This window comes from Homo sapiens, chromosome 17 (assembly GCF_000001405.40).
Source record: "Homo sapiens chromosome 17, GRCh38.p14 Primary Assembly".
NCBI lineage: Eukaryota > Metazoa > Chordata > Mammalia > Primates > Hominidae > Homo > Homo sapiens.
Genome location: NC_000017.11, coordinates 66,692,608 through 66,708,876, shown reverse-complemented (window position 1 = coordinate 66,708,876; position 16,269 = coordinate 66,692,608). Strand labels below are relative to the sequence as shown.

Sequence of the window (16,269 nt, the reverse complement as noted above, 5' to 3'; positions counted from 1 at the left end):
CGATCTTAATCCACATCAAGATTAAAGGGAACTAACAATAGCAACAAAAACACCCTTATTGCAATCTTGGTATTGGACAGAGCCTTAGAGGAAATTTAATCAGGCATTTCTCCTACATCTTTCTCAGAGGGTTGCCTGATCTTTGCTTGGATATCTATAGGCATAGGGTACTCTGTATTGAGTAGCTGGGATGCCCTGAGAAGTATATGGCATGACTTTAGGAGGTTCCTATCTCCAACTGCCATCTGCAATAGGTCACCTGCTTCTTTCTACAGGGAGACAAAAAACATTTAGCAGAGACACCTTGATACAATTGCTATGTGGCTTCACAGCCTTCCGGCAGCCACTGGGTAGTTATTCTTAGACTCAAATGGACCTAGAAAGAACTCTAAGGCTGTTTCACACTTGGACATGACAAACCATCCCAAATCTTCTCTGGGAAAAAAAAATCAAAGGAAAGGCTGAAGTGACCCAGCCCAGATACGCACAGCACCTCTTGCTCTACACATCTGCAAGAGGTCCCAGGGAATCCTTCCCGGACCACACACCTGGATGCTGGGAAGGGAGATGAGGAAGCAAAACACCTCTGCTCAAGGTGAAAGTGGCAAATGGCAGGAAGCTGCACTAGTGCCAAATGTTAACCACTTCGTTTTCAATTAAGTGCTGAAGACACGACAGCCACCGAGTTCCCTGAATTCCTGAACAAGGACATCTATGGCCCCACTTGGTCGGCCTGATGAACTGGGAAGTGCCACCATCATGTGTACATCATGGCGACAGTCCTAATGGGCAAAGAGGCCTCATCCCTGAAAACAAACTAAAACCAAAATACAACACCATGAGCACCTTGGCCACACGTTCCTGGACCCCATGTAGGGAGCTGTGATTTTGAATTCTCTGAGGCCTCTGTGGTTCTAGCTGCCTATAAAAGCCATGTTACATCAGGCGAGCCATAATCTTTTCAGCAGTGAGGCTTACTCAGCATCTCAAGAGCTGGAGATACTGCTACGTGGACAAAGAACTGACTTGTGGCCTGGGTCAGACTCCCGCTGATCTAGGCTAGCTACTGTTTAGGAGACAGGGTGTAAGCTTCCCTCCACTATGAGGGTCAGGGGTCGTTTCCAGAAAGTGGAGATAAGGTACAAGGTCTCATATCCCTTAGTACTACTCCACAATGTTCCCAAGAGCAAGGTTCTGTCTCTAGCCCCAGGGACAGTGCTTGACACAGAGTAGATGCAGCATCCACCAGTTAGAAATGTCCAGAATTACTGATTTCTGGAACCATAAAATGTATGGGAAAGAAACTGGTCCATCTTCAAGAGCAACCAGATTTGTCACACACGTGAGTTTTACACAACTGCTAGAGGAAGAAAGGGAGGTTCTCGTGGCTCTAAAATGGCCTCTCCCCTGAAGGCCTCCAACCAGCCTCATAAAGATGTTGGCTCAGACACCTTCCTCTGGGCTGTCAAAAAAGTGCAGGTGAAGGGTGGACTCCTCATGGGCCTGATGTTTAGACTTCAAAGTATTCAGAGGAGGGCCTGAGGTTCTTACTCTGGAATCAGGAAGGTGACACATCTTACAGGTGTGTCTGGCAAGTGAGTAGTCTTTAGACTGCATAAGTCAAGGCAATTTTAAGAGGCCAGAGAACCACATAAAGGGACTTGTAGGATTTGAAAAGCCTAGGACTGACGGAAGTGGAGGAGAAGGGAGGGTCTTTCCAAGGAGCACAAGCATGGGCTGAGATGCATTAATGAGCATGGTGGATGAATGGAGAGGAGTCAGAAAAGGGGGTGTCATAGGGAAGGGTGTGTGGGAAGGGACAGGGTATGAGACAGAAGCATCAACTCACACAGGAGGTCTGGGTCCTGCACTAACAAGCTTTGAACACACTCCCTTTTGCTTTTGTTTCCCCATCAACAAACACAATCTTAAACATCTCTCCCAGTTTGAATACCCTATTATTCCATTAACCCAGAGGTCACAAACTTTTTATGTAAAGGACCAGAGGGCATACATTTAGGCTTTGAGGCCCATGCAGTCTCTTTTGCAGGGACTCAACTCTGCCGTGGTAGCAAAGGAACAGCTGTGGACAACACACGAATGAATGAATGTAGTTGTGTTAATAAAAATCTATTTATAGGCACCAGATTTTGGATTTCACCAAATTTTCATGTCTCGCAAATATCCTTCTTTTTTTCAACCACTTAAAAATCCTGAAACCACTCTTTTTTTTTTTTTTGAGACAGAGCCTTACTCTGTCGCCCAGGCTGGAGTGCAGTGGCGTGATCTCGGCTCACTGCAAGCTCCGCCTCCCGGGTTCATGCCATTCTCCTGCCTCAGCCTCCAGCTGGGACTACAGGTGCCTGCCATCATGCCTGGCTAATTTTTTTTTTTTTTGTATTTTTAGTAGAGACGGGGTTTCACCGTGTTAGCCAGGATGGTCTCGATCTCCTGACCTTGCGATCTGCCTGCCTCGGCCTCCCAAAGTGCTGGGATTATAGGCGTGAGCCACCGCACCCAGCCTTGAAACCATTCTTAGCTCATAGACTGTATATACAAAAGCAGGTGGTTGGGTGTGGGTCACAGTTCACTGATCCCTTCGCTATTTAATATGGGTACTGGGGGTGATGAAGTCTATCCTTGCTGTCTTTACGACCACAGGAGACTGAATTTGTTTACTCATCAGTCAACAGGTTTCATCTTCTTGACCAGCATTTCTCAAACTTTAATGGGCTCAGGAATCACCTGGGGACCTTGTTAAAATAATATTCTGACTGGGTCAGAGGCTGGGCTGGGCTCTGAACCTCTGCATTATTAATCAGCTCCCATACTTGGAGGTGCAAGATCTAGAGCTCAAGCTGCTCGCCACTTCCTCTTTCAGGATACCCAGGGAGGTCAGAACCCTTGCGATTTACCGCTCCAGGGACAGGCAATCTTAATTCTCTGTAGGGCATGTTTTTTGGGGAAAACAACAAATAGCATTATGTTTGGTGTCACCCTTATTCTAGGTCCCTTAATTTTATTTTAGGGGGCTTTAATTTCCTCTTAGGTGCTTGAGATAGAGCCATGAAGACTTGTGCCAATGTTTAGCTGCCATGTTCATGCTAGTGCCAGTGGACATCGGCTCTGTCTTCCCTCCTTCCAGTTCCTGTAAATGAAGGGTGGCACCCTTGGTACCTGCTCATCCCCTGTGGGTACCAGGGCCTGGGGACATTTGCAAAGCTGCCTCTAACATTTAATAACAGGCTTGTGTGATATTAACTAATATTTCTTCAACCAGCAACATCCACCCACAAGGCCATCCCTGTAACTACAAGACACAGGGCTTTTATGCTGTTTCAGGAATTCATTAGACAGACAACTAGAATGCACAATCTTTTTTGGTTTCCCAACAAAATTATTTCCTCGAGACAAATTAAACTGAAAGCATGCTGCCAGCACTCTAATATAAATGCATGCACCCTCCCTTACAGACTCATGAGAAATTCTGTACAGTTGCTTTCAGAGGCTGTCTTGCTTCCTTTGGGTCTGCTCAGCTGAATGCCAGGTTAACCTCTGTTGGCAGTGATCTAATGAGTGTTTGAAAATGATTTCTACTACTAACCTGTCTCCTATATCAGTTTAAGACTTTGCTTCTAAGACAAAGCTGAAGGATAAGCCTTAAAATATCTCTTTCAACTGCTGTGCATTTTATAGATTTTTTTCCCCCTTAACATCACACAGTTAAGGAAGTAATTAAGTAAGCTATTTAGGGACAAAAAAGCAGAGAGCATATTGGGGCACATAGATTTTTTTGTTTTGTGTCTAAAAGGTCATCTGAAAGTACTCTGGTTTCCATAGTAACCGTGGCAGGGCTGATCAGATCAACAAATAGCTACAATTTATCTGAGGGTCTCTAGTGAACTGTGTTTTGTGGTTTTATTTTTCCCCCAACTGGAAGAGAGCATTCTGAACTAGATAAAGTCTTCAAAGACAGTGGAGGCTTTGGGAAAATCTAATTCTGATAAAAGAGAAAAATGCTTGCTTGCTCTTTCCACATATAACCTAGCAACAGAGTCTCATCTTTGTTGATTTAAGTACCTTAATTATAGTTTAATTGGATCATATTAATTTGTTAATTAGTAAGAAGGATAATCTCAAAATATTTCTCTTGAATAAGTAAAAACAGATACACATTTGATTTTTCAGGCAATCTGAATCCAGGGTGATACTTCCTGTAGTATCTGGACTTATAATCCTCACAAAACAGCTCATTCAAGATCACCAATTTTCTTTTGGCTTATATCTTCATATAGTTCTGAATGGTCACAAATATAAGAACTGTGAAGACACACATATTTCTCTGCATGAGACTTCAGTCATCCCAATATTACTGGGGGTCTAGTTTGGACAGAAGCCATTGTTAAGCTAGCTTGAGATTATTTTTTTGCTCCATGTGTTAACAAATTTTATTATAGAGTTAGTAGAATATGTATGTACAGATAACTATAAGCCTTAATATATGTACTAGTACACTAACAACTCTAAAGCTATAATAAAGATACAAATTAAAATTGAGCGAAGTGTTATAGACACATTTCCAAATAACAGCACTAATTTATGGGACAGAAGATGATGTTTAAGTGAAACCAAATCAATAGTGGTGGTGTTAATAGTGGGGATTTTAAATTCAAGCCCAGTTCTGAACTTAACCTATTCCTGTTTTTTTTTTTTTTTTAACTTTGCTGAGATTATAAATGTAGAAAAAGGTTTTATAGTCAGGCACTACACAATGACATTTTGGTCAACGATGGACTGCATAAATGATGGTGGTCCCATAAGATTATCATGGAGATGAAAATTTCCTATTACCCAGTGATGTCTACATCACAGACACTAACATTGCTGCACAACACATTACATGTTTGTGGTGATGCTGGTGTAAACAAAGGTACTGTACTGCCAGTCACACAAAAATACAGCACAATTATGTATAGTACATCACAGTCGATAATAAATGACTATATAACTGGTTTATGTATTCACTATACTATATTTTTATTGTTATCTTAAGAGTATATTTTTTCTATTTTTTTTTTTCTTGAGATGGAGTCTCGGTCTGTCACCCAGGCTGGAATGCAATGGCACGATCTCAGCTCACTGCAACCTCCACCTCCTGGGTTCAAGTGATTCTACTGCCTCAGCCTCCCAAGTAGCTGGGATTACAAGCTCTCACCACCATGCCTGGCTAATTTTTGTATTTTTAGTAGAGATGCGGTTTCACTATGTTGGCCCAGCTGGTCTTGAACTCCTAACCTCAGGTGATCCACCCGCCTTGGCCTGGCAAACTTGCTGGGATTATAGGCATGAGCCACCACATCAGGTCTTATTTTTTTCTACTTATTAAAACAAAAGTTAACTGTAGAACAGCCTTAGGCAGAGCCTTCAGGAGGTATTCCAGAAGGCATTGTTATCAGGGGTGATGACAGCTCCATGTGTATTACTGCCCCTGAAGACCTTCCAGTGGGACAAGATGCAGAGGTGAGGGACAGCCATATGGATGATCCTGACCTGTGTAGGGTCAAAAAAAAAATTTTTTAACAGAAAAAAAATTTTAAATTTTTAAATAGACATAGAATAAGGAGATAAAAATATTTTTGTACAGCTATACAATGTATTTGTGTTTTAAGTGTTATTTAAGTGTTATTATGAGTCAAAACTTTTTTAAAAGTTTATAAAGTAAAATAGTTACTGTAGGCTAAGGTTATTACTGAAGAAAGAAGATTTTAAAAATAAATTGAGTGTAGCCTAAGTGTTGTGGTGGCTTACAGTATTGTTCTGGCACATTCCCTCACCACTCACTCACTTACCCAGAGTAACTTCCAGTCCTGCAACCTCCATTCAGGGTAAGTGCCCTATACTAGTGTACCACTTTTTTTCTTTTATATTGTATTTTTACTGTACCTTTTCTATGTTTAGATACACAAATACTTAGCATTGTGTTACAGTTGCCTACAGCAGTCAGCATCTGTACAGGTTTATAGCATAGAAGCAATAGGTTACACCCTATAGCCTAAGTGTGGAATAGGTTATACCATCTATGCTTGTGTAAATACACTCTATGATGTTTGCATGATGAAATCTCTTAGTGATACATTTTCAGAAGGCATCCCTGTATAGAGGCATGACTAACAAAATGGTATTAGTCATTGTTTAAGGTATACAATGTGATGTTTTGTGTACATATCCACTGTGAAATGATTACTACAATCAAACTAATTAACATATCTGTCACTTTACAGTTACCATTGTGTGTGTGTGGTGAGAATCTTTAAGATCTACTCAGCAAATTTCTAGTATAAAAACACATTATTATTATTGGTCACCATGCTGTACATTAGCTCTCCAGAACTTACTCATCTTAAAGCTGAAAGTTTGTATTTAACCAACATCTCCTCATTCCTCCAACACCCTGCTCAACCCATGGTAACCACACTTCTATTCTGTTTCTGTGAGTTTGACTTTCTTAAGATTCCACATATAAGTGAAAACATGCACTATTTGTGTTTCTGTGTCTGGTTTATTTCACTTAGATGATAATATGATAATGTCCTCCAGGTTCATCCATGCGTTACAAATGTTTCTTCTTTTTAAAGACTCAATTATATATACATATACACACACATACACACATATACATATATGTGTATACACAATTGAGCCTTTACATGTATATATGTGTGTGTGTATATATATATATATGAATATGCACACACATAAATGAGATATGTATGTGACAGACATTTTCTTTATGCATTCATCTATTAATGAACACACTGTTTCCATATCTTGGCTATTGTGAATAATGCTGCAAGGAACTTGAGAGTACAGATATCTCTTCTGGGACAGTGATTTTTATTTCCTTTGGATATATACCCAGAATCAGGACTGCTGGATCGTATGGTAGCTTTATTTTCAAGTATTTAAGAGACATCCATACTGTCTCTCCATAACTGATATGCCAATTTACATTCCCACCAACAGTGTATATCATTTTCTCCACATCCTCAATAACACTTATCTTTTGACTTTTTGATAACTGCCATTCTAACAGGTCTGCAGGGATACCTCATTATAATTTTGACAATTTTGACTTAAATTTCCCTGATAAGCAACATTAAGCACCTTTTCCTTTACCTGTTGGCCATTTGTATGTCTTATTTTGAAAAATGTCTATTCAGGTCTTTTGCCCATTTTAAAATCTGTGGGTTTTCTTTTTTATTTTTGCCTTTGAGTTGTATTATATGAGTTCCTTATGCATTTTGGATATTAAACCCTTATTGGATATACAGTTTGCAAATATTTTCTCCTATTCCACAGGTTGCCTTTTAATTTTGTTGCTTTGTTTCCTTTGCTGTGCAGAAACTTTTTAGTTTGATGTAGTACCACTTCTTTATTTTTGCTTTTGTTGCCAGTGCTTTTGGTGTCATATCCAAAAAACCATTGTCAAGACCAATGTCATGAAGCTTTCCCCCCAAGTATGTTTTCTTCTAGTTCTATGGTTTCAGGTTTTACATATTTAAGTCTTCAGTCCATTTTGAGTTGACATTTGTATATGCTACGAAATGCATCTATCCAATTTCATTTTTTGGTATGTGGATATCCAGTTTTCCCAACACCTTTTATTCAAGAGACTATCCTTGCTTTATTCTGTATCCTTGATGCCTTTGTCAAAGATAGTTGACCACGTATGTGTGGGGTTTATTTCTGGGTTTTCTATTCTGTTCTACTGGTTTGTATGTCAGTTTGTATGCCAGTACCATACTGTGTTGATTATTATAGATGTGTAATATAATTTGGATCAGAAAGTGTGATACCTCCGTCCTTCTTGCTCCATATTACTTTAGCTATTCAGGGTCTTTTGTGGCTTCATACGAATTCTGGGATTATTTTTTCCTCTATGGAAACAAATTATACTAATAATTGGCATTTTGATAAGGATTACGTATAATCTGTAGATCACTTTGGGTAGTACAAACATTTTGACAATATTAATTCTTCCAATCCAGGAACAGGCGATATCTTCCCATTTATTTAGGTATTATTATTTCTTTCATCAGTGTTTTCTATTTTTCAGTGTACAGATATTTCACCTCCTCGGTTAAATTTATTCTTAAGTATTTCGTTCTTTTTGATGCTACTGTAAACACAATTGTTTTCTTATATTGTTTTGAATAGTTCATTGTTAGCATAGAGAAACACAACTGATTTTTGTATTTTGATTTTGTATCCTGCAACTTTCTGAATTTGTTCATTAGTTCTAACAAGTTCTTTGGTGGTGTCTTTAAGGTCTTCTATATATATATATGATCATGTCATCTGCAGAGACTATTTTACTTCTTCCTTTCTGATTTGGATGCCTTTTCTTTTTCTTGCCTAGGTGCATTGGTAGAACTTCCAGGACTATGTTGAATAGAAGTGGAGAGAATGGGCATCCTCATTTTGTTCATGATCTGAAAGAAAGAACTTATAGCTTTTTACCATAGAGCAGGATGTTAGCTGTGGGCTTGTCATAAATGGCTATTACTGTGTTGAGGTACATTCCTTTATACCTAATTTGTTGAGAGTTTTTATTTTGAAAGGGCATTAAATTTTGTCAAATCCTTTTTCTGCATCTATTAAAATAATCATACAATTTTTATCCTTCGTTCTGTTAATGTTGTGTATCACATTGATTGGTTTATGTTAAACCATCCTTGTATCACAGGAATAAATCCCACCTGATCACAGCATATCATCCTTTAAATGTGATGGTGAATTTGGTTTGATAGTATTTTGTTGAGAATTTTTGCATCTCTGTTCATTGGATATATTGGCCTTTAATTTTATTTTCTTGTCATGTCCTTGCCTGGATTTGGTATCAGGGCCATGCTGGCCCCATAAAATGAACTCAGGCATGTTCTTTCCCTTTCAGTGTTTTGGAAGAGTTTGAGAAGGATTGGTATTAATTCTTATTTAAATGTTTGGTAGAGTCTGGGCACAGTGGCCCAGCAAAGGGAGGACAAGCCTTGAGGCTAGGAATTCAGTTGAGGCCAGGAGTTTGAGACCAGCCTGGGCAACACATCAAGACCTCATCCCTACAAATTAGCTGGGTGTGGTGGTGCATGCCTGTAGTCCCACCTATTCAGGAGGCTGAGGCAGGAGGATTGCTTGAGCCCAGGAGTTTGAGCTGCAGTGAGCTATGATTGTGCTACAGCACTCTAGCCTGGGCAACAGAGCGAGACCTTGTCTCTTAAAAAGTGTTTGGTAGCATTCACCAGTGAAGCCAGTAGGCATTGGGCTTTTCTTTCCTGGGAGATCTTTGATAACTGGTTCCACCTCCTTACTCATTATTGGCCTACTCAGATTTTCTATTTCTTTATGATTCAGTCTTGGTAGGTTGTATGTTTCTAGAAATTTATTCATATCTTCTGGGTTATCCAATTTGTTGGTGTGTAACAGTTCAGAGTAGTCTCCTATGATCTTATGTATTTCTGTAGTATCAGTTGCAATGTCTCCTTCATTTCTGATTTTATTCATTGGTCTTCTCTCTTTTTTCTTAGTCTAGCTAAAGGTTTACCAATTTTGTTTATGTTTTCAAAAAAATCAACTCTTAGTTTTGTTAATCTTTTTTTTTTTTTTTTTTTTGAGAGACAGTCTAGTTATGTTGCCCAGGCTGCAGTGCACTGGCTATTCACACGCACAATCGAAGCTGCTCCACAGCCTCAAATTCCTGAGCTCAAGCCATCCTCCTGCCTCAGCCCTCTAAGTAGCTGGGACTACAGGCACATGCTACTGTGCCTGGCTTGCTTACCTTTTCTACTGTCCATATCTTTCTCCAAACTTGGGAAGTTTGCAGACATTTTTTTTTTCTTTTTTTTAAGACAGTCTCGCTCTGTCACCCAGGCTGGAGTGCAGTGGCAAAATCTCAGCTCACTGCAATCTCTGCCTCCCAGGTTCAAGTGATTCCTGTGCCTCAGCCTCCCGAGTACTGGCACTACAGGCATGCACCACTACACCTATTTTTTTTTTTTTTTTTGTATTTTTAGTAGACACAGGGTTTTGCTACGTTGGCCAGGCTGGTCTCGAATTCCTGGCCTCAAGTGATCCACCTGCCTCAGTCTCCCCAAAGTGCTGGGATTAGAAGCATGAACCACCACACCTGGGCCATCATTTCTTTATATAAGCTTTCTTCCCCTTTCTCTTTTTCCCTTCTAGAATTTCCACAATGCAAATGTTAGCCCTTTTAATGTTGTCCCATAAATCCCATAGGCTTTCTTCATTCCTTTTCATTTGTTTCTGTTTTCTTCTGACTTGGTAATTATAAATGAGCTGTCTTTAAGTTCATGGATTCTTTCTTCTACTTGATCAAATCTGCTGTTGTCACTCTCTATTGAATTTTCCATTTCATTCACTGTATTCTTCACCTCCAAAATTTCTGTTTGGTTCTTTTTAAAAATGATTTATAATCTTTTTATTGAGCTCTTGTTTTTCTGATTTTGTTGTCTGTATCCTCTTGTAGCTAGCTCTCTGAGCTTCCTTAAAACAATTAAATTGTCAGGTCATTTTTAGATCTCCATTTTTTAGTAGTTGCTTTCTGGAATATTGTGTTCCTTTGTGATGTCATGGCTCCTTAACTTTTCATGTTCCTTGAAGTGCTGTCCTTTGAAGTCTTGTTGCTTCAAATGCTGTCTTCACATTTGAAGAAGGAGGCAGTCATCTCCTCCTCCAATCCTTATTGACTGGCATCAGGAGAGAAATGCCTTCACCAGTCAGCCTGTCTATGGATAATGAGACTTTCTTAATCCTTTTCTATGGATGCACCTGCTCTACATTTCTTTTTCCCTCTTGAGGGCTAATTCTTGACTTTGCATGCCTTCTTTCAATCCTGCAAAGCTAGGTTAGGTGCTAAGAGCCTCCTGTTTGTTTTCCCTAGGATGGTGTCCTGAAATACTCAAGTTTGTGTACCTTCTCCCAATCCCACAGAGTTGAGCTGGCTGTCTACATAATACGCTTGCATTCACTGTCCATGGGGGCACATTTAGGGACTCAGTCTGGGGGTGGGGGGTGTAGAGTTTGGGAACAGTAGATGAGGTGTCTCAAGCAGCTCGTGGATGGGCTTCCTGATGGAGTCTGTAGAACACTTCAGAGGGCCAGCAGCTTCTCTTTCCTGCTCTCAGCCTCTCCCAATCTCTCAGCCATGCTGATTATCTCAGCAATCTGGGTGAGGTGAGAAAGAAGTGGGGCTCTTGGGCAGTGTTGTGGATGGCTGGGGGAGCTGGGTGCTTACTTACTATGCTCTTGCTTTCCCCCTTAGAAGGAATTACAGGTGAGAGAGTCTCTCTTGGCTCTGAGCAGTGCTGCTTTGAGGGAGGGGTAATACAGATAAAGTAAAACTAGTTCTTCCTACCCTCTTCAATGTGTTTATTTGTGGATGTTTTTCCTCCAACAGTGTTCTGAAACTTCTCTGCTGGCCTCCTAGACTCCTACAAAGACACTCTTGTCCATAGGTAGTTGTCAACATTGATGCGTCTACAGGGGAATGATGGTGAAAGCTCCTATTCCACCACTGTGCTGACATCTAGCTTTAGATTCTATTGGGATAGTGTGGCTCTAGAGGATTTTCAAGATAAGGCAAAATGTAGCTATTTACTTTTTAGAATTTATGATTATGTGATTATTTAGCTGACAATGTGCTTCAAATCACAAGAGGTAGACAGACTGGGTTCCTCTGGGCTGACTTGTCTAATGGGTCGAAGAATTTCCAAGGCTTTCTCGACTCTCTGAGGAGACAGGCGAGGTGTGATGACGATGGTCTATGACTGGGGAAAATCAGATTAATTATGAGGGGGTTGACTTGAGGTTCTAAGGCAGAGCACAGATGCTTACGGCGGAGTCAGGCCAAGGTGGCATTAGCAACCTGGGAGCAGGGACAAAAGGCAGGTCTCTCAGATGCCAAAGCTCTCGATCACGTATGCACTCAAGTTCAAACAACTTTCCCCAGCCTCCTGGGTGCCAGGTGTCAGGAGAAAGTGGGTGAAAACAGAGATGAACTGGGAAGCCTGTCTGCTGAAAATGTCATCAAGATAGCAGAATTCGGGTTTAGCTTCAGGTTCTAAGAAACCATAAATGTTGGAACAACCAATCCACTGGTCTGTTCTCAGAAATAAGTCCTTGATAACAATTTCTAATGCTCAAAACAGAGTTCTAAGAATGCTCTTACCTCTTGGTAGCACCTCATTTGCACAGATAAATAACTTTTCATAAATATAAATCAAAACCAAACTTGGGCAAATCATGTCTATTTCATATAATTAGCAAACATTTATTGGGCACTTACTCTATGCCAGGTACTAGTCTAAGCAACTTACGTAAGTGAACTGAGTGAATCCTCCCAGCAGTCCTATGCGGCAGTCTCTATTATCATCTCCACTTCGTAAACAAGGAAAACAAAGGTCAGAGAGTTTAAGGAACTTATCCAAGATCATCAGCTGGGAAGTGGTAGAGCAGGGATATGAAACTATGGCTATTTTAAATTGCATATTCCTTCTAGAAAAATACCATGCTCAAACATTGAGTAATCTGTCCCAGGTCATACAACTGGGATATAAAAGGGGCAGGATTTGAACCTAGAAGTCTGGGTCCAACACTGAGGCTTCTAACCACTATGCAATACCACTTCTCAAATGAAAGGAATATACGATGCCCAGCACGGAAACTGCCTAGCATCTAATCATCACACAGCGGGTGTTTGCCATGATTCCCCCTGCTTTCATCACTGCTCCATCAACATCACACCTCTTGCTCCCCAGGAAGGGACAGGATGGGAACTGGTCCTCAAAACTGCACTTCATTTTTCACACTTGGCTATAAATTTCTCTCTTTATAAGAACTTTAAAAGTATTTCCCTTTAGAGAGCTCATACAAGCTTCAAGGGACATTGCAATTTAAATAAATTCATCTTGTTTTCTTGGGTCCTGATACTCAAATGAGTAATATGTGATATATTATCCATCAGCTTTCTAATGGGACATCATTTTTCATTACATTCTGACAACAGAAATATCCCATCGCAGACAAAGCCCCAGGTGTGCTGCCTCTTAGCTATCTTTGTTCTGCTACAAGTTTCTTTTTGGCTTTTTAAATATTAGATGTTTAACTTGCTCTGGAATAGAGCAATGGTGTGCAGCAAAAGTTACGGTTACAGTAAGAGGAGGAAAAGGCCAAGGCGCTTTTAGCTTCTTAATTTGCTCTGTTTTTTAAATGATGAACGAAATAATAAATGACAAAAACAATAAAAAGCCTGGACAATTGAGCAAAATTGAATGGTGTAGGCTCATTTAAGGAAAGCTGCTTGACTTTTTAATATTAGAATCTCCATTAACTGTTAACAGCACATGGAGTAGATAAGCAACCCTACAGGTAGAAATGAGTTCGTTGAAAGTCCATTCCCAGCTAAAAGCCATCAAAATGCAAATTAAAAGTAGTCATTGTGATACTGGAGCAAAATGAGCAAACGTATGTTTCGTTTTGTGAAATCTGAAGCTTGGAGAAGGGAGACGTGGTCTTCACCACTTGTCCTGAAGTGCCCTCAGCCCCAGGGAGCCAGGTCCATGGCTGGGGTTATTTGCCCTTCTGGCTTGATTTCTCTTGAGGTTGCAGGATTGGGGAAGAAGGTCTTGGACAGAGTAAACAGCCCTAGGGAAGAGGGGCCAAGCTTAGGAGAAAGGCTCTGCACAAGAGGAAGGGGCGCTGAGGAAAGGAAGGAATGTAACTCTGGGGATAGGAAATGGCTGGATCCCAGGCAGGCCTAGAAACTGGTCCCAGAACTCCCTTCCCCTCACCTTTCCCCTTCCCCTACCTCTCAGCCCATTTTCTTGATTCTAGGACAACTCCAAGGCTCTGAAGGTAGATGTAGCCCAAGTAGGCTCAGGGAAAGAATCAACTGACGGATAAACAAGAAACAAAAATACTAAGCTTACTAAAAGCCATGGAAATGAAATGCAAATGACAATAAGAACTTCGGGAACTGTCTTAAAAGAGGGAAAGATGTGGCTAGAAGATACCTTTTTTTTTTTTTTTTTTTTTTTTAACCATTGGAAATGTGAATGTAGCATGTAACTTCCTGGGTACAGCTCAAGATGTGAATGATTCAGATCCCAGATTTTGTAAAAGATCAGAGGGCAATATTACACCAACAAAAGTACTGGACCTTCATGTGAATGCAATCAGTAGTCAATCAACTGTGACGTTTCTGTTGTTAACATAATCACTTCTCTAATGAATTATTAGCTGCAACAATCATTATGATTATACTTGTGTTGATTCTTCGTGTGGTTTACATCAAATCCTTTTTTTTTTTTTTTTTTTTTTTTTTTGAGACAGAGTCTCGCTCTGTCGCCCAAGCTGGAGTGCAGTGGCACGATCTCAGCTCACTGCAACCTCCACCTCCTGGGTTCCGGCAATTCTCTGCCTCAGTCTCCCGAGTAGCTGGGATTACAGGCGCCCGCCACTATGCCCGGCTAATTTTTTGTATTTTTGGTAGAGACAGGGTTTCACCATCTTGGCCAGGCTTGTCTTGAACTCTTGACCTCGTGATCCAGCACCCTGGCCTCCCAAAGTGCTAGGATTACAGGCGTGAGCCACCGCGCCTGGCCAAATCATCTTTTATATGTGCCTACTTTTCAGTTTGTAATCGGGACCCAACATCAAACCATTGAATCGAGAAGGATCAGTGCAAGCTGACTTCTCACTGTGGTATTATATTTACTTCCCTGACAACAACTAATATCCTATCGTATCAGGATATTAGTTCTATTTATAACTAATAGAAAAACAGAACTAGTTATCCTGACCTATTTTTTCCATTTATAGTTAAGCATGCCAATGCACAGAAAGGTCACATAGTAAATAAGTGACTAAACTAGGATTTGATTCTAGAGCCTACGGGCTAAACCAGAAGTTGGCAAACTGGCCCTTGGGCCAATTCTGGTCTGCCACCTGTTTTTGTAAGTAACGTGTTATTGGAATACACCAACACTCATTTGTTTATGTATTTGTGGCTGCTTTTGAGCTGCAACGGCAGACTTGAATGTTATACCAGACACCGCATGGCCCATAAAGCCTAAAATATTTATTATCTGACTAGGTACAGAAAAAGTTTGCTGAGCAGAGCTAACCCATCCTCTGCACTGCCTCTAACGCAAGGTGGACCTTTTCCCAACTCTGGCCGTGAGCCTCATCACAGGGAGCAGAGACCAAGCAGTGAGAGGGAAAAACAGGAATCTCAGTTGTCCTCAATAGTGCCTGGAGATTCAGGGGAATCACTGGCCAGCACAGGGGATATGATAAGCTCCCTGCTTTGTTCCCAAATATTTTTGCAGCAGGGCCCATAGATACAGAACGTAAGCTCCAAAGAAAGCAGGAACTGTCTGCTTAGCCCACTGCTGGCACCTTACTTTTTTTAACAAATGGAAAAATGCATTATTTATGTTTGTGAATCAGGGACCACGTGTACTTTACTTGATGACAAACGTGGAACAGATTAAAGGCCCACAGACACACTGTCCATGAGTATCGCAATCAAGGTTCTGGTTTGTTTTGTCTTGTAGGAGGATGAACTGCTCTAGCAGGATCTCTACCAGCGAGGAAGGTCATCTCCAGCCACCCTGGAATATTCCTTGGCTCCTAAGAGCTCCAGTCACTGATCATTCTGTTTGCCAAGATTTGAGAACCAACCATTTAAATTGCAAAAACTTTCCACCTAATTATCGAATGAATACTAATGCAGTGGCAGAGTTGTAAATGCTCGTTTGGTTTCCCTTTCATCCAACTGAATGACTTTTGATTTTTGGAGAAGGATTCGAAAACTGCATGGAGGGAACCCTTTTTAGAAAACAGGGCTGGACATGGAAGGATAAGGACAGACTGGACACTGTGTGATCCCACTGAGTGATGCCTGTTCCCAACAGGACGAACCCTCGTGTGTGTTTCAACCAATACAGATTCATCATTGAACTTAACAAAAAAATCTTACTCAGCTGAATCAAACTGTTACTGGAGGGTGGCAAAGTATCTATGAAAGAGTGGGTAGGGAAGAAAAGACTAATGTGATGGAAAGCAAGTTAGAATGGCAGTTAGTTGGCGAGAAAGGGCCCAGAGAGGGGAGCCTGGAGACACTGGGAAGCACTCATGCTACAGACCGAAAAGGAGGAAACGGGGTGGGGGCTCAAAGAGGTGCCTCAAATTGGA

General features: G+C 40.8%; 1 protein-coding gene across 11 annotated transcripts in view; it reads right to left on the bottom strand.

Annotated features, from left to right (window-relative positions):
• PRKCA (protein kinase C alpha) overlaps positions 1-16,269 on the bottom strand; it is a 508,131-nt gene that overhangs the window by 101,867 nt on the left and 389,995 nt on the right. For 2 of the 11 annotated variants that reach the window (XR_007065316.1, XM_047436389.1), the window contains one exon: positions 5,013-12,450. The exons of 6 other annotated variants lie outside the window; for them this stretch is intronic. Coding sequence is in view for 1 of the 5 variants with exons in the window: in XM_047436389.1 (XP_047292345.1) it covers positions 12,442-12,450 (9 nt within the window). In the remaining 4 variants the exon portion in view is untranslated. Of the gene's footprint in view, positions 1-5,012; positions 12,451-13,879; positions 13,964-16,269 lie in introns of those variants that run through there. 3 more of the 11 variants (XR_007065317.1, XR_007065315.1, XR_001752558.2) reach the window with 3 other exon arrangements.